Here is a 25,057-nt window from a genome sequence, read left to right as displayed (position 1 = left end):
TTCTGTATTAGTCTCTTTTCAGCTAGAGTTCTTGGAGTAAAGCAGTAAAGACTTGTGAATAGCTAAATATTTAAGTATACTAGAAATGTATTTAATTTTTTTCTATTAATGAAGTATTTTTATTTCTAAAACACATAAACATGTTTATATATCCATTACCTCTTTTTAGATATAAAAATTGACTTTTACGTTTTCCATTGGAAAATGAATTTTAGTGCTAATGACATTTTAAATCCTGATATCAGTGAATACAATTATTTCCCAAAATAGGCTTTGCAAATCTTTCGCTCTGAATAATCCCTGTGCCTCACAACTGGAGTCGGGGAGAAATTTTATTAGACAAATATTTCTGAACCTTTTGCTATTTGTTTCAGATTTTTCTTATTAAATATGGCTCGTTTTTTTTTTTACTAGGTGTTTAAGTCGAGATATCTTCTAGCTTTAAGCACTTACACACTTTGTTAGTACATATTTTTTTTCATTAAGTTCCCCTTCCAAATGAACACTCATTATTCGATGCTCGCCAGTGTTTTCTTTACCTCCACAAGTTGTCCCAGGTACCTACTAGCTGGGTAATTGATTAACTTTCTAATCTGAGTTAGATTTACTTGACTCTCATTGATTGTTTTTATAGCATCTTTAAGTTTGTTGTATTTTATTTATTCTCAATGTTGTATTGAGAGCTAGAACTTTAATGCAAGGGGCAAGTAGGCTGTGTCCAACCAAAAGGGGCCTATTGCCTCTTTTGGTCTTTATTAGGTGTTTCACGATACTGCCTAGGATTTTCGACACATTCTTTCTGAACTAAGTTCAAATGCCTCACTATCGCTTTTGAAGGTTAACAGAAATAGTTTATGGGAAATTAGAACTTCTCAGATTAATATTCCCTCTGAAAAACATTCTAAGTTGTCTTTTCATGATAGCTTAATAGTGCTATTAGAAGTTGCCTTCATATCCAAAATTATTTTCTTCTCATATAAAGATACTGAGTATTAAAAAAATACATTTCCCGCCGGGCGCGGTGGCTCACGCCTTTAATCCCAGCACCTTGGGAGGCCGAGACAGGCGGATCACGAGGTTAGGAGATCGAGACCATCCTGGCTAACACGGTGAAACCCCGTCTCTACTAAAAATACAAAAAATTAGCCGGGCATGGTGGCAGGTGCCTGTAGTCCCAGCTACTCCGGAGGCTGAGGCAGGAGAATGGCGTGCACCCGGGAGGCGGAGCTTGCAATGAGCCGAGATGAGGCCACTGTACTCCAGCCTGGGCGACAGAGCGAGACTCCGTCTCAAAAAAAAAAAAAAAAAAAGTTTCCCAATTTTCATACTCCCTTGGAGTCATCTGAAGCTTCCACTTAGCACAAAATAAAAACTGGGAAGAAAGTTAATAAAAGTCATAACTTTAGAGGGTACTTCAGTATAAGTCCTGTTTCATATTATTTTTTATTAAAAATCAGTTGGTCTTGCCAGGTGCTGTGGCTCACGCCTGTAATCCCAGCACTTTGGGAGGCAGACTGGCAGATCACTTGAGGTCAGGAGTTCAAGACTAGCCTGGCCAACATGGTGAAACCTTGTGTCTCCACTAAAAATACAAAAATTAGCCAGGTGTGGTGGCAGGCACCTGTAATCCCAGCTACTTGGGAGGCTGAAGCAGGAGAAGTGCTTGAACCCAGGAGGTGGAGGTTGCAGTGGCCCAAGTATGCACCACTGCACTCCAGCCTGGGTGAGAGTTTCAAAAACAAACAAAAACATTTGGTCCTTTGCCTCTTTGTTGTTTTTTGTTTGTTTTCTCTTCTTTGTTTTTGGAATGAAGCATATTTGTTAATTTATATTACTAAAGTCTCCTTTATAATTACCTGTTTATTGAGAACTGAACCCTCTTTGGTTAGTTCTCATACCTACTTGGCTGCCCTTTCATTTTTTAAAGGTTTTAAGAAATATTTACTTAATCTCAGATCACTTGTTCGGTTCTCATCCCTTTTTTTCTCAGAGAATGTCAGTGATGCCTATTTACCGACAAGGGGTCATCAGATTTTATTATTTCTGATATTTCTTACATGCTGTTATGTAGTATACCTTTTACTTAAGTCCTTTCTTACTTTCATTTCACTCTGTAAAGCTGATATTTACATTTTAGACTAAAACACACAGCAAAGAGGAAGCTTAAAGAAGTTAGGTGGTTTGCCAAAGGTAACAAAATAAGCCATTTAGAGCTGGTTGGCTCATTTTAATTGCTCTCTTACAATCCAATATTTGAGCATATTGTAACTTTGTTCCTCTTTCTCTTTTGATACTTAAATATTCCCAGGTTTATAAATAATGCTTCAATGAGTAATTTTGTAGATATGTCCTTAGGCACATCCCTGTAAGTGGAATTAATGAGTCAACTTTACAATTTTTGGTTCACCATAGCCATTTATGCTCCCAGGCAGTGAATCGTATTTCCTCTTCCTGCACATTCTTGCAATTCTTGTAAGACTTTAATATTTGCATATCTTATGGATGAAAAATGTTTCATTGATTTCATTTATATTGCTCTGATTTCTTGTGAATTGAGAATCTTTTCATAATTTTATAGGCCATGTTGTTTTTCTTTTGTTGAGGTCCCTGTTTATATTCTTGGCCCAATTTTTTATTTTGTTGTTCATCTTTTTCATATTGATTTGAATGTTGCAATCCTGTCCCCTCAGCCTCGCAAGGTGTGGCTGGGATTAGAGGTGCACAACCATGCCTGGCTTGGTTTGAATGCTTTAAAAAATATATATATATATTCCGGCCGGGCGTGGTGGCTCATGCCTGTAATCCCATCACCCAAAAGTGATGGGAGGCCGAGACAGGTGGATCATGAGGTCAGGAGGTCAAGACCAGCCTGGCCAAGATGCTGAAACCCTGTCTCTACTAAAAATACAAAAAAATTAGCTGGGCATGGTGGCACATGCCTGTAATCCCAGCTACTTGGGAGGCTGAGGCAGGAGAATCGCTTGAACCCTGGGCGGCAGAGGTTGCAGTGAGCAGAGATTGTGCCACTGCACTCCAGCCTGGGCGACAGAGCAAGACTCCATCTCAAAACAAACAAAACAAAAACTTCCAGACTAATCTTTTTTTTGGATGTATGTTTTACTGATATGTTCTCCCATTTGTAGCTATTATTTAAACTTTCTAAGAGTATTTTGCCATATAGGTGTTTCTAAATTTAAATTATTGGTCTCATGTTTTTGTGCTTTTCCCCCTATTTAAGGTATACTTTCTTTTTCCTTGTGCATGATGATATTCTTGTATATTTTCCTGTAGATATTTTTACAGTTTTGCTTTTGCCCTTTAGGTATTTAATCTCTCTCAAGTTTATTTTAGTCACAGTATGAGGTGTAGATTTAATTTGATCTTTTTTTCAATATTAGTAGTCCATTACCAAAGAACAGTTTATTAAATAGTTCATTTGTTCCCTACCGATTTGTAATGCCATTATAAATCAAAGACCATTCACTTGGGATATAAACTTCCACAGATGCCTAGGCTATTTCTGGATCCTTCTAATCTGTTCCATTGATTAATTTGTCTTTACCTGTATCAGTACTAAGCAATTTGAATTACTGTAGCTTTATTATCCATCTTGACATTTTGTATAGTAAATATACATTTCTTATTATAACATTGTCTTGGCTATTCTTTGTCTTTGCTATTCAGTATGAATTTTTGGATAAGTTTGAGAAACTAAAAAAAATCTCAGTATCATTTTGATGGAAATTATATTAGATTTACAGAGAAATTCTGAATAAATTCATATATTTATTCTTGAATTTCCTAACATGAACAAAATTTGTGTCCCCAGTTTTTGGGAGGTTTTTCTGTGTGCTTTAATGACGATTTATATTTTTCCTCAAAAATTCCTTATGCAGTTTTTATTCATTGGCATTTTATAGTTTTTGTGATGTCATGAGATGCACTTCAAAGTATATTCTCTAACCAGTTGTGTTTCCTGCAGAAAATACTATTGAGTTGATCTTGTGGTTGGCAGCCTTGCTAAAGCCTTTTAGTAGTTTACATTTTAAGATTTTCTAATGGATTTTTTTCTGACTTCCTACAGAGATAATCTTATTTTTAGGCAATAATGACAATTTTGTTTCTCCCTTTTCAATCTTTACGACTCCTTTTCCTTCCTTTATCCCTCCTGCCCTTCCTTCTTTCCTTCCTTTCTTCCCATTTTTCTCTTTTTCTTTCTCCCCTCTTTCCTCTTTCCCTTCCCGATTTTTATTTCTCCCACTGCCCCCTTCTCTCTTTATTGTCGTACATAGGACCTCTGTGCAATGTTGACTATAAGAGGTGAAAACAGGCCTGGCACAGTGGCTCAGACTTCTAATTCCAGCCCTTTGAGAGGCCAGAGGGGGACGACCACTTGAGGCCAGGAGTTGAAGACCAGCCTGGGCAACACAGAGAGAACCCTGTCTCAAAAACAAACAAACAAACAAACAAAAAATTAGCATGTACTTCATAGCTACTCAAGAGACTAAGGTGGGAGGATCACTTGAGCCCAGGAGGTCAAGGTTACAATGAGGCAGGATCACTCCACTGTAGTCCAGCCTTGGTGACAGAGCAAGACCGTTTCTCTGCGGGGGATAAAAAAGTGAAAGCCAGCATTCTTATCTTGTTTGTAAACTTAAAGGGGATTTGTCAATTGTAAGTTTTGATAAATACCCCTTATATCAGTTTTAAAAGTTTGCTTGTTTGTAGTTTGCTAAGTTATTTATTTTAAATTATGAGTGCCTATTAAATTTTATCAAAAGATCTTTTGCATTTAATGAAATGATAATTTTTAAAATCTGTTAATTGAAATTATAGTGAATTACATTAAAATATTTTCAATGTTATGACTTCCTTGCATCGTTTGAATAAACCTTACCCGAAAGTTAGGTATTATTATTTTCTACATTGCTAGATTCTGTTTGCTAGTATTTTATATTTTCCTGTCTATGTTTATAAGTGAGATTGGCTCTTAAGTTTTCCTTTCTCATATTTTCCCTGTTCAGTTTTTGTTTCAGGGCTGTACATACAGGCTTACAAAAAGAGTTGGGGGAGCTTCCCATTCCCTTTTTAAATATTTTATGAACCAATTTATATATCAGGGGTTACCTGTTCTTGGAAAATGTGTTAGAATTATCCAGGGAAATTATTTGGGCCTGGTAAATAAAAAAATATATATATATATATATATAAAATATATTTTATTATGGTAAAATACAGATAACATACAATTTACCATCTTAACCATTTTTAAGTGTACAGTTCAGTGGTATTAAATATATTCATAATGTTGTGCAAGCATCACCACCATCCATCTCCAGAACTCTTTTCTTTCTTTTTTTTTTTTTTTTTGAGCTGTCACCCAGGCTGGAGTGCAGTGGCACCATCTTGGCTCACTGCTACCTCTACTTCCTGAGTTCAAGCTACTCTCTTGCTTCAGCCTTCTGAGTAGCTGGGATTACAGGCACCCGTCATCATGCCCGGCTAATTTTTGTATTTTTACAGAGACGGGGTTTCACCATCTTGGCCAGGCTGGTCTTAAACTCCTGACCTCAGGTGATCCACCTGCCTTGGCCTCCCAAAGTGCTGGGATTATAGGTGTGAGCCACCACATCCAGCCTTCATAACTCTTTTCATCTTGTAAAACTGAAACTCCGTGCCCATTAAATAATAATTCCCCATTCTCCCCTTCCCCCAGCCACTGGCAACTACCCTTCTACTTTCTGTATCTATGATTTTGATGACTCTAACTACCTCATATTAGTGGAATCATACAGTATTTATCTTTTTGTGACTGGCTTATTCAATATGATGTCCTCAGTGCTTTACCATGTTATAGCATGTGTTAGAATTTGCTTCCTTTTTAAGGCTGAATAATATTTTATTTATGTATATACCACATTTTGCATATCCATTCATTCATCAATGGACACTGAGTTGCTTCCATGTTTTAACTATTGCTTGTTGGCCATTTGTGTTTCTTCTTTTGAGAATTGTCTATTCATGTCCTTTGCCCACTTTTTGATGGAATTGTTTGTTTTTCTTGCTGATTTGTTTGAGTTCTTTGTAGATTCTGGATAGTCCTTTGTTGGATGCATAGTTCATGAATATTTTCTCCCATTCTGTGGGTTGTCTGTTTACTCTGCTGATTATTTCTTTTGCTGTGCAGAAGCTTTTTAGTTTAATTAGGCCCCATCTATTTATTTTTGTTTTTGTTGCATTTGCTTTTGGGTTCTTGGTCATGAGCTCTTTCCCTAATCCAGTGTCTAGAAGAGTTTTACCAATGTTAACTTCTAGAATTTCTGTGGTTTCAGGTCTTAGATTTAAGTCTTTGATCCAACTTGAGTTGATTTTTATATAAGGTGAGAGATGAGGATCCCATTGTATTCTTCTACGTGTGGCTTGCTGATTATCCCAGCACCATTTGTTGAATAGGGTGTCCTTTCCCCACTTTATGTTTTTGTTTGCTTTGTTAAATATCAGTTAGTTGTAAATAATTGGCTTTATTTCTGGGTTGTCTATTATGTTCCATTGGCCTACATGCCTATTTTTATACCAGTACCATGCTGTTTTGGTAACTATAGCCTTGTATAATAGTATAGTTTGAAATTGGGTAATGTGATGCCTCCAGATTTGTTCTTTTTGTTTACTCTTGCTTTGGCTATGCAGGTTCTTTTATGGTTCCATATGAATTTTAAGATGGTTTTTTCCAGATCTGTGAAGAATGATAGTAGTACTTTGATGGGAATTGCATTGAATCTGTAGATTGCTTTTGGCAGTATGGTCATTTTCACAATATTGATTCTTCCCATCCATGAGCATGGGTTGTGTTTCAGTTTGTTTGTGTTGTTGATGATTTCTTTTAGCAGTGTTTTGTAGTTTTCCTTGTAGAGATCTTTCACCTCCTTGGTTAGGTATATTTCTAAGTATTTTCTTTCTTTCTTTTTTTTTTTTTGTAACTGTTGTAAAAGGTATGGAGTTCTTGATTTGTTTCTCAGCTTGGTTGCTGTTGGTGTATAGCATGCTACTGATTTGTGTACATTTATTTTGTATCCTGAAACTTTACTGAATTCATTTATCAGATCTGTGAGCTTTTTGGATGAGTCCTTAGAGTTTTTCTAGATATACGATCACATTAGTGAACAGCAGCAGTTTGACTTCCTCTTTACTGATTTGGATTCCTTTCTGATTTCTCTTGTCTGATTGCTCTGGCTAGGACTTCCAGTACTATGTTAGGCCATTTCCTTTTTTTCTGAGTCAGATTCTTAGTGTATTAATTTTTAATCTCTCTTATTTTCTAATGTATGTGTTTAACTGTATTATTTGTTTATCTCACAATTTTTTATGGTAATTGTTATCATCAAGTTATACATATTTTGAAATGTCTATCATGATCTTTTTTACTTGTGAATTATTTAAAAGTATGTCTTTAATTTCCACATTTAAAAGACATTTTTGGGCTCACGCCTGTAATCCCAGCACTTTGGGAGGCCAAGGCAGGCGGATCACAAGGTCAGGAGATTGAGATCCTGGCCAACATGGTGAAACCCCGTCTCTACTAAAAATACAGAAGTTAGCTGGGTGTGGTGGTGCATGCCTGTAGTCCCAGCTACTCGGGAGGCTGAGGCAGGAGAATTGCTTGAACCTGGGAGGTGGAAGTTGCAGTGAGCCAAGATCGCACCACTGCCCTCCAGCCTGGCGACAGAGCAAGACTCTGTCTCAAAAAAAAAAAAAAAAAAAAAAAAGAAGATATTTTTCAAGTTTCTCTTTTCAATATGAATTTCTAATATGTTGTATTTTGGACACAGGTTGTGATTTGAATGATACTGATTCTTTGGTATTCAATGAGACTTGTTTTCTTTCCCAATGCATCCTTAGTTTTATAAACATTTCATTGGATTTTAACAGTTTCTACTATTTGTGCACAAAGTTACACACACACATACAGATTGTTGCAATTTTTAAGATGGATGTTTAACTTAATGCGATCTCTACTTAATCTATTTGTAATCCTCCTGAATTGAAGTCCTGAAGGACTTCAAAATGTTTATCTCTGATTTCTAACCCCTCTCATCATATTCCATGTTATTTGTATCTTAGATTTCATTTTTATTTTGTTTTTAAGTCCCCTAATTGCCCTTTTTTACAAAGTCAGTGACAGTTTGGATTTACCCATATTATTTATCAATGTCCTTATTTTCTATGAAAAGTGATTTCCATTCCATTCGTTTTATTAAGGGACAGTTTCTTTCTTTCGAGAGTTTTCTGGGTGTTAAAAAAAATCATTTTTTTCCAAAAATGTCTTTATATTGCCTTCTCTCTTGGAAGATAGTTTTATACACAATTCTAGTTTTCATTGCTTTTGCTTAAACAATCTAAGATAGTATTCCATCGATTTTTGCCTTCTGTTTTAATTGATGGCATTTTTACTCTATGAAAAGCATTTTAGAAAATAAACACTATGCTATATGATATTAAAATATAATAAGATTATTCATTATGAAGAGCAGACTATGCTTCATTTATTAAAAACTGTAATAAATAGTCTGTGTAGGAAGCATTATGACATTCTTAGACCAACTTCCATATTTCCTTTTAGATACTCATTTTACCATTATATTTTGCTTATTTATAAATATGCTTATATACTTATATATTAATTTTAAAAAGTGATATACTTTATTGTAAACATTTAAAAGTATTTAAAAATATTTATTGAAAACCACTTTTTATAAGTTCTAGATTTTGAAATTTAAGTGTGCCTGCCAAATAAGACTGCAAAATCTAGACTGAATGACAGACATAAAAGAACAAAAAGGAAGGTATCTTCTGTAGTATCTGTATAGAGAAGTTTATTCTGACAATTATCATTTTTATTTTCATATTATAAAAATAAAAAGGAGGCTGGGCATGGTGGCTCACGCCTGTAATCCCTGCACTTTGGGAGGCCGAGATGGGCAGATCACCTGAGGTCCGGAGTTCCAGACCAGCCTGCCAACAGTGGAGAAACCCCATCTCTACTAAAAATACAAAATTAGCCCGGCGTTGTGGCGGATGCCTGTAATCCCAGCTACTCAGGAGGCTAAGGCAGGAGAATCACTTGAACCTGGGAGGCTGAGGTTGCTGTGAGCTGAGATTGCGCCATCGCACTCCATCCTGGGAAACGAGTGAAACTCTGTCTCCAAAATAAATAAATAAGAATAAAGTAAATTCTGTCTTTCATAATTCAGTATCTTAGAGAAGAGATTTAAAGCAAATACTAATGTCATAATATACACACATATTGAAACATAATGCAGTTTTGCATACACTATATATGTCTGCTCAATCATTCTTAGGACTTTTAATAATTTCACTGTTACGGTAAGATAACTAGTTTCAAAATGTGGTAAAATTTTCCAGCCTAACTCAAAGCTAAGAAATATAGAGTTTGTCTTGTGCCTTTTATATAAAATTGTTTTACTTCTCTTTTTCCACTGTTTTTTTAAGTTAGCTTCTTTTCCAGAATTTCAGTTTACCATATAAGAAAGTTAAAGACTTTAAACACAGAGATATCTAAATCTGCATGTTTTTCTCAAGACATATTTTCCTTCTGAACCAAGATAAATATGATTCATAGTCTTTGCCATTTAATTGTCTTGATTAATTGTTTTCAATAATTTCTCTTGTTTGTTACTCAGTGACTGAATTATGCATTTTTGCTATTTAAAAAATGCTTTGCAATTTAAAGCTTTTGATCAGAAGTGTAAAACTTAGTAGTCCTTTCATCACTAATACTAGAGGTGCTCACTATATTGAGTAAAGTCTCACTTCCCATTTTAAAATAATCTTACACATTATGACATGCATATTAACATTTGTATTCTGTAACTACCTGAATCATTATTATAATACAAATACTGTTTACTTACATTGTCCTTAACCAGTATTGCCTCACATGTTAAATCATTTTGTGTCCCACATCTGGTGTGAGAATATGAGTAGCATAGGAAACAGTTCAGCCAATTTAGAGATTACTTGAATTGAACTTCAGCTTTTTAATTTTTATTAAGGTTCCGGATTAGAAAAGGCCTTGGGAAATGTGAATGATTGTGTAATTGTGTATAAATTCATTTTTAATTTTTAATTTTTGTTAGTACACTGTAGGTATATATATTAATGGGGTCATAAGATGTTTTGATACAGACATGCAATGTATAATAACCACATCATGGAAGATGGGGTATCGATCCCCTCATTTAGCCTTTGTTATTATATATCAATCTTGTAGCAATGTTATAAGATTTATAAGAGATTATCATGTGGATATATAGAAATGGCATTATCAAAAAATTCATTGTTTTCATTGCATTGAAAAGGTGAAATTGCAGAATAAATGTAGGAGAAAATTTCTTTTTGCTAAGGTTTGTACAATCTGATATGCCTGAGGAATCAGTAATCCCCTCAGAAATAGCCAAGAATATATGAAGGAATATCACAAACAGCACATTATGCCAAAAATTGCTGTTTTCTTTTTTTCTTACTACATTACAACCTGATTCTAGTCAATCTTCTGATGTATTTCATTTCTCCTTTCCTTCTCCTCCCTTTTACCCATCCCGCAGGAATAGCAATGGAAACCCTGAAAAGCATTCAGTATAGGAAATTAAGTTTCACAGGGACCATTAAAATTTATTTTTGATTTCTCTCTTGTAAGAGTTGTAAATAACCTATTAAAAAGTTTTGCCCTTTTAAACTAGAACTTTTTCCTAAAGTCTGTTTAAGATAATTTATAATACAATTTTTCATCCAATTTCTACCCTTGCCTCATACACTCCTACAACATTCATTCAAGAGCTGCATTCTTGACAGGTTTTATACAGTTTTTTCAACACTGTATTATGAAAAATTTCAAACATAAAGCAAAACTGAAAGAATTTTACATTGAACATCACATACCAACCAACTAGATTTTACCACTAACATTTTACTAGGTTTATTTCCTTCCTTCCTTCTCCTCCTTCTTTTCTTCTTCTTCCCCTTCCCCTTCCATTTCGCTCTTGTCGCCCAGGCTGGAGTGCAATGGGGCGATCTCAGCTCACTGTAACTTGCACCTCCTGAGTTCAAGCGATTCTCCTGCCTCAGCCTCCCAAGTAGCTAGGATTGATTACAGGCATGCACCACCATGCCCAGCTAATTTTGTGTTTTTAGTAGAGATGGAGTTTCACCATGTTGGCCAGGCTGGTCTCTAACTCCTGACCTCAGGTGATCCGCCCGCCTCAGCCTCCCAAAGTGCTCGGATTACAGGTGTGAGCCACCGCGCCCAGCCTCATATCTATGTTTCTATTCATTGCTCTATCCTCCCACTAAATCCATGTCATTTGTGGATGCTTTTAAAGTACATTGCAGATATCGTACACTTTTCTCTAAGTACTTTAGCATGTGTATCATTAACTAGAGTTTAATATTTGTTTATGGTTTTTTCTTTTAATTTAAAATTTATATACAATAAATTCATAATCCTAATTATTCAGTTTTGACAAACACATCCCTTTGTCACTCAACTTGCTACTGCGATATAGAACGTTAACATGACCTCAGAAAAGTTCCCTCATTCCCCATTCCCGTTGATACCTGCTGTAACTCTTCCTCCACATGGGCAGCCACTGTTCTAATTTTTAAAGCAACATTAATTCGTTTTTACCTGTTTTATAACTTCAGTATATACTCTTCTAAAAACACTTTGGCTGCTATGCAGAGAAGGAATTGTAGGAAGATGAAAGAGGAGTCAGAGATGTGATTTGGGAAGCCATTGCAGTAGCCTATGTGAGATGATGATGGCTTGGACCAGGGCGGTAGCAGTGGAAGTGGTCAGACTTAGAGTAAATTTTGAATATAGAGCTGATAGAATTCACTAGGGGGCTGGATGTGAGTGTATGTTGATGCCACTACCTGAGATGGGGAACACTTGAAGAGAAGTAGTTTGGGGATAAGAAAATCAAGGTTTCTATTTTGGACATGTTATATTTCTTAGTTTTTGGTTTTTTTTTTTTTTTTTTGAGACGGAATCTTGCTCTGTGGCCCAGGCTGGAGTGCCATGGCGCGATCTCGGCTCACTGCAAACTCCGCCTCCCGTGTTCACGCCATTCTCCTGCCTCAGCCTCCCGAGTAGCTGGGACAACCGGCGCCCGCTACCACGCCCGGTTAATTTTTTGTATTTTTAGTAGAGACCGGGTTTCACCGTGTTAGCCAGGATGGTCTCGATCTCCTGACCTCGTAATCCGCCCTCCTCGTCCTCCCGAAGTGCTGGGATTACAGGCGTGAGCCACTGGCCTGGACATGTTATATTTCAAATGCCTAGAGTGTATCTCAGAGCTAGAGATACTTATACAGGAGTCACTGTTTTATAAGTTAATATTTTATTTTGGTCATTGTCAAATTATAAGCATAATAAAGTAGTTCACAGATTATATCTATTTATAACTAGGTTAGATGGACTTTGCTGATCTGTTACAGACAAACCTCTGATGCCCAGAATAAACAAAACCATATATGCAACAAAGGAAATATTATTTTAAGCAGGATTATTGCTAGCTATATGTATTACATACAACACAGTCACATTGCTCATATTCTATGAAAAGAAAATTAATAAACAAATAGACTTTATACAATAAAGCAAAATGCAGTGATCCAAAGAATCTATTCATTGAAGCCCACTGTTAACATTTGTGGTATTACAAGGACAGATAACTCACAGCCTCTGTGTCTGATGACCTTTGAATAAAATAACAGACATATTGTATATATAATTGAAGAGAATAAAAAACACATAATAAAAACATAATAAACACTTCAAAGCCTAAGTAGATTGTATAAGAATTTAACTTAGAGGAAGACAAGGTAGAGTCTTGCTAGGATGATTTTAGAAGGCTTTAAAGTCAGAGGAGACTTTTTTTGAGGAGAACCTTGAATTTTCATAGTAGGTTAAAGGGATGGCAATTTTAGGTGGAGAGAATGGTATTTGCAAAAATGCAGATGCAGCAGTCATAAGGATTATTCAGGCAATGGCAAATAAAATTGTTTAACTTCAGCATAAGAAAGACAATCACCCATTCACTCATTCAACACATATTTACAATAAATGCTTATTTTGTTCTGGGTACCAAGGACTGTTAAGTACATACTACTTTCATATCTTTCCCTCAGGGAATCCCCTCAGTCTGTTAGGCAAGATAGATATATATGGAGAAAGGTAAGGGGAATGTATATTTTTTGTTGCATGACATTTTGTTAAGCACCGAAGAAGGCATTTTGCATTTTTTTTCCCTTATTCAATTCCCATAAGACCCCTTAAGCTAGGGACTAAATGCCACATTCTACGTCAAGGGAAATGGAGTCTCTGATAGGTTAAAATTTATTATCCTAGTAAATTACAGTGTTAGAGTTTGTACCCATTTCTTCCATTTAAAAAACTATGCCACATTGAATAAATACAATATAACAAAACGTTTAATAAAGTCACATTATAAAATGTTATTTTTGCTTAGTCTTGCTTTGGCTGTGTGGGCTCTTTTTAGTTCTATGTGAATTTTAGAATTGTTTTTTATAACTGTGAGGAATGATGGTGGTATTTTGATGGAGATTGCATTGAATTTGTACATTGCTTTTGGCAGTATGGTCATTTTCACAATACTGATTTTATCCATCCATGAACATGGGATCTTGTTTCCACTTGTTTGTGTCATCTGTGATTTCTTTCAGCAATGTTTTGTAGTTTTCCTTGTAGAGGTCTTTCAACTCCTTTGTTAGGTATATTCCTAAGTATTTTATTTTATTTTTTGCACCTATTGTAAAAGTGGTTGAGTTCTTGATTTGATTCTCTGCTTGGTTGCTGTTGGTGTACAGAAGTGCTACTGATTTGTGTACATTAATCTTGTATCCAGAAATTTTGCTGAATTCTTTTTATCAGTTCTAGGAGCTTTCTAGAGGAGTCCTTAGGGTTTTCAAGGTAAACAGTCATATCGTAAGCAAACAAGTGACAGTTTGACTTCCTCTTTGCCGATTTGGATGCCCTTTATTTCTTTCTCTTGTCTGATTGCTCTGGTTAGGACTTCCAGTACTATGTTGAAGAGGAGTGGTGAGAGTGGGCATCCTTGTTTTGTTCCAGTTCTCAGAGGGAATGCTTTCAACTTTTCTCCATTCAGTATCACGTTGGCTGTGGGTTTGTCATAGGTAGCTTTTATTACATTGAGGTGTAACCCTTGTATGCTGATTTTGCTGAGAGTTTTAATCATAAAAGGATGCTGGATTTTGTCAAATTTTTTTTCTGCATCTATTGAGGTGATCATGTGATTTTTGTTTTTAATTTTGTTTATGTTGTGTATCACACTTATTGACTTGAGTGTTAAACCATCCCCGCATCCCTGGTATGAATCCCACTTGATCATGGTGGATTATCTTTTTGATATGTTGTTGGATTTGGTTAGCTAGTATTTTGTCAAGGATTTTAGCATCTATGTTCCTCAAGGATATTGATCTGTAGTTTTCTTTTTTGGTTATGTCCTTTCCTGGTTTTGGTATTAGGGTGATACTGGCTTCATAGAATGAATTAGGGAGGGTTCCTTCTTTCTCTATCTTGTGGAATAGTGTCAAAAGGATTGGTACTAATTCTTGTTTGAATGTCTGGTAGAATTCTGCTGTGAATCCGTCTGGTCCTGGACTTTTTTTTGTTGGTAATTTTTAAATTACCATTTCAATCTTGCTGCTTGTTATTGGTCTGTTCAGGGTATCTAATTCTTCCTGATTTAAGCTAGGAGGGTTGTATTTTCTCAGGAATTTATCCATTTCTTGTAGATTTTCTAGTTTATGTGAGTAAAGGTGTTCGTAGTAGGCTTGAATGATCTTTTGTATTTCAGTGGTGTCAGTTGTAATATCTCCTGTTTCGTTTCTCAGTGAGGTTATTTGGATTTTCTCTCTTCTTTTCTTGGGTAATCTTACCAATGGTTCATCAATTTTATTTATCTTTTCAAAGAACCAGGTTTTTGTTTAATTTATCTTTTGTATTTTGTTTTGTTTTGTTTCGATTTCATTTAGTTCTGCTCTGATCTTGGTTATTTCCTTTCTTCTGCTGTGTTTGGTTTTTGGTTTGTTCTAGTTTCTCTAGTTGCTTGAGGTGTGACCTTAGATTGTTTGTGCTCTTTCAAACTTTCTGATGTAGGCGTTTAGGGCTATGAACTTTCCTCTTTGCACCGCCTTTGCTGTATCCCAGAGGTTTTTATTTTATAGGTTGTGTCATTATTGTCATCAGTTGGAAGAATTTTTAAATTTCCATTTTGATTTTGTTTTTGACTCAGTGCTCATTCAGGAGCAGGCTATTTAATTTCCGTGTATTTGCGTGGTTTTGAAAGTTCCTTTTGGAGTTGATTTTCAGTTTTATTCCACTGTGGTCCAAGAGAGTGCTTGATATAATTTCAATTTTCTTAAATTTATTGAGGCTTGTTTTGTGGCCCGTCATATGGTCTATCTTGGAGAAAGTTCCGTGTGTTGTTGAATAGAATGTGTATTCTGAGCTTGTGGACGAAATGTTACACTGTATTATATATTAGATATACTATATAATATAATTATATATATTATATATACTGTATGTATGTATAAATATTCTGTATACATCTGTTAAGTCCATTTGTTCCAAGGTATAGTTTAAATCCATTGTTTGTTGATTTTCTGTCCTGATGACCTGTCCAGTGCTGTCAGTGGAGTATTGAAGTTCCCCCACTATTGTTGTGTTGCTGTCTATCTCATTTCTTAGGTCTATTAGTAATTGTTTTATAAATTTGGGATCTCCAGTGTTAGGTGCATATATATTTAGGATTGTGATATTTTCCTTTTGGACAAGGCCTTTTACCATTATGTACTGTTCCTCTTTGTCTCTTTTAACCACTGTTGTTTTAAAGTTTTGTTTTGTCTGAAGTAGCTCCCCTGCTCACTTTTGGTGTCCATTTGCATGAAATGCCTTTTTCCACCCCTTTAAGTTTATGTGAGTCCTTATGTGTTAGGTGAGTCTCCTGAAGGCAGCGGATAGTTGGTTGGTGAGTTCTTATCCATTCTGCAGTTTTGTGTCTTTTAAGTGAAGCATTTAGACCATTTACATTCAATGTTAGTATTGAAATGTGAGGTACCATTGCTTTCATCGTGCTATTTGTTGCCTGTGTACTTTGGCTTTGTTTTTTGTTTTTGCCTTTTTTTTTTTTTTGAGATGGAGTCTCGCTCTGTTGCCCAGGCTGTAGTGTAGTGGCACAATCTTGGCTCACTGCAATCTCTGCCTCCTGGGTTCACGCCATTCTCCTGCCTCAGCCTCCTGAGTAGCTGGGATTACAGGCGCCTGCCACCATGCCCGGCTAATTTTTTGTATTTTTAGTAGAGACGGGGTTTCACCGTGTTAGCCAGGATGGTCTTGATCTCCTGACCTTGTGATCCGCCCGCCTCAGCCTCCCAAGGTGCTGGGATTACAGGCGTGAGCCACTGTGCCCCGCCTTTGTTTTTGCTTTTTAACCTGTATTTTCGTTTTATAGGTCCTGTGTGATTTATGCTTTAAAGAGGTTCTGTTTTGATGTATTTCCGGGATTTGTTTCAAGATTTAGAGCTCCTTTTAGCAGTTCTCGTAGCGGTGGTTTGGTAGTGGTGAATTCTCTAAGCATTTGTTTATCTGAAAATGACTGTATCTTTCTTTCATGTATGATGCTTAGTTTTGGTGGATACAAAATTCTTGGCTGATAATTGTTTTATTTGAAGAGGCTGAAGACAGGTTCTCAATCTCTTCTAGTTTAAAAGATTTCTCCTGAGAAATCTGCTGTTAATCTGATAGATTTTCCCTTACAGGTTACTTGGTGCTTCTGTCTCACAGCTCTTAAGATTCTTTCCTTCGTCTTAACTTTGGATAACCTGATGACAATGTGCCTAGGTGAAGATCTCTTTGCAATGAATTTCCCAGGTGTTCTTTATGCTTCTTGTATTTGGATGTCTAGGTCTCTTGCAGGGCTGGGGAAGTTTTCCTTGATTATTCCCCCAAATATGTTTTCCAGGCTTTTGGAATTCTCTTCTTCCTCAGGTACACCGATTATTCTTAGGTTTGGTTGTTTAACATAAACCCAGACTTCTTGGAGGCTTTGTTTATATTTTCGTATTCTTTTTTGTCTTTGTTGGATTGGGTTAATTTGAAGACCTTGTCTTCGAGGTCTAAATTTCTTTCCTCTACTTGTTCAGTTATATTGCTGAGACTTTCCAGAGCATTTTGCATGTCTAAAAGTGTGTCCAGAGTTTCCTAAATTTTTTATTTCTTTTAAGCTATCTATTTCCATGAATATTTCTCTCTTCACTTCTTGTACCTTTTTTTTGGATTTCCTTGCATTGGGCTTCGCCTTTCTCTGGTCCCTTCCTGAGTAGCTTCATAACTAACCTCCTGAATTCTTTTTCCGGTAAATCAGGAATTTATTCTTGGTTTGGATCCATTGCTGGTGAACTAGTGTGATTTTTTGGGGGTGTTGAAGAGGCTTGTTTTGTCATATGACCAGGGCTGGTTTTCTGGTTCCTTCCCATTTGGGTAGGCTCTGTCAGAGAGAAGGTCTCGGGCTGAAGGCTGTTGTTCACATTCTTTTGTCCTACGGAGTGTTCCCTTGATGTAGTACTCTCCCCCTTTTCCAATGGATGTGGCTTCCTGTGAGCCAAACTGCATTGATTGTTGTCTCTCTTCTGGGCCTAGCCACCCCGCAAGTCTACCCAGCTTAGGGCTGGTACTGGGGGTTGTCCTCACAAAGTCCTGTGATGTGAACTGTCTATGGGTCTCTCAGGCATGTATACCAGCGCCTGTTCTGGTGAAGGGGCAGAGGGTGCAATGGACTCCATGAGAGTCCTTAGCTTTGGTGGTTTAATGCTCTATTTTTGTGCTGGTTGGCCTCCTGCCAGGAGGTGGCATTTTTCCAGAAAGCATCAGCTGTAGTAGTGTGGAGAGGGATGGTTGGTGGGCGGGGCCCTAGAACTCCTGAGATTATATGCTCTTTGTCTTCCACTACCGGGGTGGATAGGGAAGGACCATCAGGTGGGTGCAGGGCGAGGCGTATTTGAGCTCAGACTCTCCTTGGGTGGGTCTTGCTGCAGCTGCTGTGGGGGCTGGGGGTGATTTCCAGGTCACTGGAGTTGGGTACCTAGGAGGATTATGGCTGCCTCTGCTGAGTCATACAGGTTGTCAGGAAAGTGGGTAAGGCTGTCAGTCACAGGTGTCACCCAGCTCCCACGCAAACTGAAGGGCTACTCTCACTCCCACCTTGCCCCAGCCACCCTCAACAGCCCCGAGTCTGTGTCCAGGCAGAGGGTGAGACAGGCTTGAAAACTTGTCCGAGGCTATCTGCGTCCCAGCTGCAAGAGAAAAGGGCTTTAGTCCTTCCTCTGCCTGTGAAGTCTGCACACCTGATTCGCGCCCTCTGCGTTCTGACCAGGAGGCTTCTCGCCCCATTCAAATTGTTACAAAGGTCAGATATAGAATTCCTTGTCCCTGTGGAATTTTACCCCTGCTTCTCTGTCTACCCTCCTGATGGATCCCTGTGGTGCCAGGCAGGAATGGGCTGCTTGGGGACCCAGTGAACTCCTAGGGCCTTTCTGCTGCTTCCTCTACCTCTGTATTTCACTCGGCTCTCTGAGGTCAGCTCCAGGTAAACTTCCAGAAGTCAGAAACTTCTCCTGCAAACAAACCTTCACCTTCTCCAGTGGGGATGTGTGTTTGGGAGAGGAGGGTCTCCCTTTCCCATTTCTGCAGTTGGGGTACTCACAGTATTTGGGGTGTCTCCTGGGTCCTGCAGGAGCAGTCTGCTTCCTTCAGAGCATCTGTGGGTCCTCTCAGGATTGCTGGTTTGTTCTTGCAGTTGATCTGGAGCTAAAATTCACAATGTAAGCTTCTGCACGCTGCTCTGTCTGGAGCTGCAATCTAGTCTTGCCTCCCGTCTGCCATGATGCCCCTCATGTTAAAATTAGCTTTTCATATAAAGATAATTTATTGACTCATGAACTAAAAAGAATGTGAAAATGACTTTAGACACAGCTGAATCGAGGAGTTAACAGCATCAGACACCCTCTCTCTCCTTCTGAACTCCCCTTTGCATCTCAGTTAGGCTCTCTGCTCATACTGCCAAAGATTGGCTCCAGGCTCACAATTCTCCAGTTAAGCAACCCTAGTGGAAAGAGTGCCTTTTTCCCCCGCCCTACTGGGACAGCATTCTTGGGTTGAGTTTGATTAGCCTGACTTGGCTCAGTTGCTACCCTGAATGAGCCACTGTAGCGAGATGAATTTGCTTTTTTATTTGCTAGGCTTTTGTTTAGCATCTACCACTATATCCAGAAGATTGAGTTAGTCCCATGCAGACCACATGGACTCAGAGGAATAGACTGTTGTTATATATATATAAAAAAAAGATATATTATTTTACCAGAAGAGGTGATGCTGTACAACAAAGCAACAGATGTTCTATTCAAAATGACGGATAAAGGAGACCAAGAAGACAGAAGAAAGATAAAGGAAGTAGATGAAGAAGGGAAGAGGAGGAAGGTCAAGAAAGAGGAGGACATGGAGAAGAGGGAGAGAAAAGTGAGTAAGAAAGAGAAAGAGATAAAGAGTAGAGAAGAGTGAGATTTATCTTGATGAAAAACCTTATCCCTATATGGGATCAGTGAGCACAGATACCTACAGCTTGAAACTCTGCACACAAGACATTATTCAGAAGGTGTACATGAGCATTCTGTGATGAGAAGAATGGGAATCCCAAAGTTGTCTTTACAAACATACACACTCTCTTGATACCAGATTCTGTGACTTTATCTGTGAATACAAAACACCTGATCTGATCCCTTGTTGAGAACGTCACATGCCTCAAGGCCTTTCATATTTTCCATAGATGCACGTGTCTGCTGAGGATTTTCTTCACAGCTTCTTTTATCTCCTTATTCCTCAGGCTGTAGATGATGGGGTTCATTGGGGTGATCACTTCATAAGACAATCCAATGATTTCATCAGATGCTGTTGTGAACTTTGATTTGGGCTTCATGTGCATGAAAAGAACTGAACCATAGAATAAGATGACCACAGTCAAGTGCGCTGAACAGGTAAAAAAGGCTTTCTTTCTTCCCTCAGCAGAATTAATTCTCAAGATGGAAGAGAGAATAAACACATAGGAGATAAAAATTAAGAGGAATCACCAATAAAACAATACTTGACACTGTCATTATAAACACATTTATGGAGATATCTGAGCATATGACTTTAAGAAGAGCCAGGATCTCACAGGTAAGATGATCAATGATATTATTCCCACAGAAAGGCAACATCATTGTCAGAACTGTTCGCAATAGGGAGGTCAGACAGCCTATGATCCAGGACCATGCAGCCATTTGCACATACAGCACTCTGTTCATGATGATGGAGTACCTCAGTGGGTTGCAGATGGCCACATAGCGGTCATAGGCCATCACAGCCAGGAGGATACACTCAATGGAGCCCAAGCCAAGGGACACAACCATCTGCAGAGCACAGCCAATGAAGGAGATGGATTTTCTCTCAGATACAAATATAATAAGCATTGGAGGAATGGATGATGATGTGTAACAGATGCCCAAGAATGAGAGGTTTCCAAGAAAGAAATACATGGGGGTATGGAGGCGAGAATCCAAGATGGTGATGATAATGAGGAAGCTATTTCCCAGGAGGATTATCATGTACATGATGAGGCAGAGCAGGAACAGAAAAAGCTGGAGCTCTGGATATTGGGAAAGCCCCACCAGAAAGAATTCAGTCACGGCAGAGTGATTTGTTGTCTCCATGTGTTCATGTCATCTGCAGAGTTTAGAAAAGAACATGAGACAGGAAAATTTGAATTTTTGATGTAGAGTTATCAAATAACTTTCATATTCATCATTTTGTTTTATTCTTAGAACAGGCTCTGGAATCAGCAAGAGCAGGGCTATTAATTTTGCTAATGATAAAAAAGGCACTGAGATCAATATTTAATTTTTTAATTTTTTTTATTTTTTGAGATGGATTCTCGCTGTGTCACCCAGGCTGGAGTGCAGTGGCACAATCTTGACTCACTGCAACCTCTGCCTCCCATGTTCAAGTGATTGTCCTGCCTCAGCCTCCTGAGTAGCTGAGACTACTGATGCACACCACCATGCCCAGCTAATTTTTTGTATTTTTAGTAGAGACAGGTTTCACCACATTGGCCAGAATGGTCTCCATCTCTTGACCTCATGATCTGCCTGCCTTGGTTTCTCAAAGTGCTGGGATTACAGGCGGGAGCCACTGCGCCCGGCCCAATACTTTTTAGTATCACACAGTAGCAGAGGCTATGATGGGAAGTGCCAGTCCTCTAATTACATAATATTTAGGGACAAACTACTTTCAAAGGTGGGTGCTTAAGAATCTCTATTGATGAATATTTTGAAATAAAGCTTTATTTTTATAAAGATGTATCCAATTTAAAGTATCATGGAGATTTGGAACCATGCTGGTTATCCTCACTATGACTTTCAAGTTACTTAACATTTTTGAGTCTAAGCTAGCTAAGCTACCAGTTTCAGCTAGGAAAATGGCAGGAAAGCTATAACTCTTTGGTAGTTTATTGTGAAATTTAACTTAGATAACACCTATTAGGTGGCAGGTATAGTAGGTGGTTCCAACATGTCATCTAAAATTATATATTAAGAGATTATGATTGAATCAAAATAGCAGTAAGTATATATATGTTCATAGATATTATAAATCATAACTTTTAAGTCTACTTGGCTGGGTCAGGAGGAAAAAACATTTTTTTTTTTAAATTTTAGGGCAAGGGAATTGAAATTTGGGAGCATAATTGATGGAACATGAACAATTTTCTGATCCAAAGGGGACATCTAACCAGTTAAGAGTCTGGAATCATTGGTGTTTAGTTCCCAGGAACTAAGGATCTTGGACTGCTATTATGTACAGCTTTCTTTAGGGCCTGGAATTCACCCTTTAATATTAGTCACCAAGTATTACCTTTCTTCTTAACTTTTGTAATTTTCCAATTGGTCTAAATTCTCTATTCCTTTTTCTCTACCTTTTAGATGCATATTTTATGCTTTTGCAGGCAAGTTTATATCATTTACGAGTACTTATTAATATATACTTTTCTTTCGATTTTTGTATTTAATGCTTTGGACCCATCTCCAAATCTTCCATACTGTTTTAAATTTTGGCCAGGAAGCTTCCATGTGTGACAGAATTGACAATGGCTAATTTTTATTGAGCACTTTTTTTGTAAGCACATTTCAGTGCTGTAAGCTCATTGAATGTATTAATCAGTCTTCAGTGCAACTCACTGACATAGATACCATATTTAACTCCCATTTTACGGAGACGAAACAGAGACAAAGAAAAGTTTAAGTAACTTTTACAAGGTCACAGAGATAATATATCCCAAAGCCAAATTCCAATATTCAGTTGCCTGGCTCCAGAGTCAACCCTTTTACCCATTAGACCACAGTGCTTCTCAGAGATTCCTACACTGATTCTAAGCAAGAGACAATTACAGAAATATTTCTTGCTGTGTTAAACTTACATAGCAAGCATCACTTGCTTGTTTTATTTCTGATTACACATGATATACTAGTAAACTCTGAAAGCTGGATCACAGCCTTTTATTTCTTGTAGCCTTTGGAATGTGTGTGTGTGTGTGTGTGTGTGTGTGTGTGTGTGTGTTTTTGAGACGGAGTCTCGCTCTGTCATCCAGGCTGGAGTGCAGTGGCGTGATCTCGGCTCACTGCAAGCTCCGCCTCCCGGGTTCACGCCATTGTCTTGCCTCAGCCTCCCAAGTAGCTGGGATTACAGGTGCCCGCCATCATGCCCAGCTAAATTTTTTTGTATTTTGGGTAGAGACGAGGTTTCACCATGTTAGCCAGGATGGTCTCGATCTCCTGACCTCGTGATCCGCCCACCTCGGCCTCCCAAAGTGCTGGGATTACAGGCATGAGCCACCACGCCCGGCTGGAATGTGGTCTTTTCGGTTGTCTACATGTAGCAGGCAATTTCACAATTATGAGAATTAGCATAATCAAGAACAATGACGTGAGAATTCTTTTTTTTTAAAATTATACGTTAAGTTTTAGGGTACATGTGCACAATGTGCAGGTCTGTTACATATGTATACATGTGCTGTGTTGGTGTACTGCACCCATTAACTCGTCATTTAACATTAGGTATATCTCCTAATGCTATCCCTTCCCCTTCCCCCACCCCACAACAGGCCCCGGTGTGTGATGTTCCCCTTCCTGTGACCATGTGTTCTGATTGTTCAGTTCCCACCTATGAGTGAGAATATGCGGTGTTTGGTTTTTTGTCCTTGTGATAGTTTGCTGAGAATGATGGTTTCCAGCTTCATCCATGTCCCTACAAAGGACATGAACGCATCATTTTTTATGGCTGCATAGTATTCCATGGTGTATATGTGCCACATTTTCTTAATCAAGTCTATCATTGTTGGACATTTGGGTTGGTTCCAAGTCTTTGCTATTGTGAATAGTGCTGCAATAAATATGTGTACATGTGTCTTTATAGCAGCATGATTTATAATCCTTTGGGTATATACCCAGTAATGGGATTGCTGGGTCAAATGATATTTCTAGTTCTAGTTCCCTGAGGAATCGCCACACTGACTTCCACAATGGTTGAACTAGTTTACAGTCCCACCAACAGTGTAAAAGTGTTCCTATTTCTCCACATCTTCTCCAGCACCTGTTGTTTCCTGACTTTTTAATGATTGCCATTCTAACTGGTGTGAGATGGTATCTCATTGTGGTTTTGATTTGCATTTCTCTGATGGCCAGTGATGATGAGCATTTTTTTCATGTGTCTTTTGGCTGCATAAATGTCTTCTTTTGAAAAGTGTCTGTTCATATCCTTTGCCCACTTTTTGATGGGTTTTTTTTTTTTTTTTTCTTGTAAATTTGTTTGAGTTCTTTGTAGATTCTGGATATTAGCCCTTTGTCAGATGAGTAGGTTGCAAAAATTTTCTCCCATTCTATAGGTTGCCTGTTCACTGTGATGGTAGTTTCTTTTGCTGTGCAGAAGCTCTTTAGTTTTAGTAGATCCCATTTGTCAATTTTGGCTTTTGTTGCCATTGCTTTTGGTGTTTTAGACATGAAGTCCTTGCCCGTGCCTGTGTCCTGAATGGTAAAGCCTAGGTTTTCTTCTATGGTTTTTATGGTTTTAGGTCTAACATTTAAGTCTTTAATCCATCCTGAATTAGTTTTTGTATAAGGCGTAAGGAAGGGATCCAGTTTCAGCTTTCTACATATGGCTAGCCAGTTTTCCCAGCACCATTTATTAAATAGGGAATCCTTTCCCCATTGCTTGTTTTTCTCAGGTTTGTCAAAGATCAGATAGTTGTAGGTATGTGGCATTATTTCTGAGGGCTCTGTTCTGTTCCATTGGTCTATATCTCTGTTTGGTACCAGTACCATGCTGTTTTGGTTACTGTAGCCTTGTAGTATAGTTTGAAGTCAGGTAGCGTGATGCCTCCAGCTTTGTTCTTTTGGCTTAGGATTGACTTGGCGATGCGGGCTCTTTTTTGGTTCCATATGAACTTTAAAGTAGTTTTTTCCAATTCTATGAAGAAAGCCATTTGTAGCTTGATGGGGATGCCATTGAATCTATAAATTACCTTGGGCAGTATGGCCATTTTCACGATATTGATTCTTCCTACCCATGAGCATGGAATATTCTTCCATTTCTTTGTATCCTCTTTTATTTCATTGAGCAGTGGTCTGTAGTTCTCCTTGAAGAGGTCCTTCACATCCCTTGTAAGTTGGATTCCTAGGTATTTTATTGTCTTTGAAGCAATTGTGAATGGGAGTTCACTCATGATTTGGCTCTCTGTTTGTCTGTTATTGGTGTATAAGAATGCTTGTGATTTTTGCACGTTGATTTTGTATCCTGAGACTTTGCTGAAGTTGCTTATCAGCTTAAGGAGATTTTGGGCTGAGACAATGGGGT

The 25,057-nt window shown here is 37.8% G+C and overlaps 1 long non-coding RNA gene and 1 pseudogene across 1 annotated transcript in view, besides 1 other annotated feature; one reads left to right on the top strand and one right to left on the bottom strand.

The window, feature by feature from the left end:
- Window positions 1-25,057, top strand: part of LOC107987105 (uncharacterized) — a 217,429-nt gene that overhangs the window by 4,440 nt on the left and 187,932 nt on the right. The gene's annotated exons all lie outside the window — the stretch shown is intronic.
- Window positions 17,941-19,140: an enhancer, noted in NCBI's record as "BRD4-independent group 4 enhancer chr9:107486341-107487540 (GRCh37/hg19 assembly coordinates)". NCBI's record gives its function as "activates an origin of replication core promoter dependent on BRD2, P300/CBP, MED14 and CDK7 cofactors, and independent of BRD4, by STARR-seq in HCT116 cells {active_cell/tissue: HCT116}" and the evidence as "EXISTENCE:reporter gene assay evidence [ECO:0000049][PMID:35650434]".
- OR13D3P (olfactory receptor family 13 subfamily D member 3 pseudogene) lies at window positions 19,931-20,864 on the bottom strand (annotated as a pseudogene).

Source organism: Homo sapiens, chromosome 9, assembly GCF_000001405.40.
Source record: "Homo sapiens chromosome 9, GRCh38.p14 Primary Assembly".
In the NCBI taxonomy this organism is placed as follows: domain Eukaryota; kingdom Metazoa; phylum Chordata; class Mammalia; order Primates; family Hominidae; genus Homo; species Homo sapiens.
Note: the sequence above shows the minus strand (reverse complement) of the source record. Positions and strands in the feature narration are given on the sequence as shown.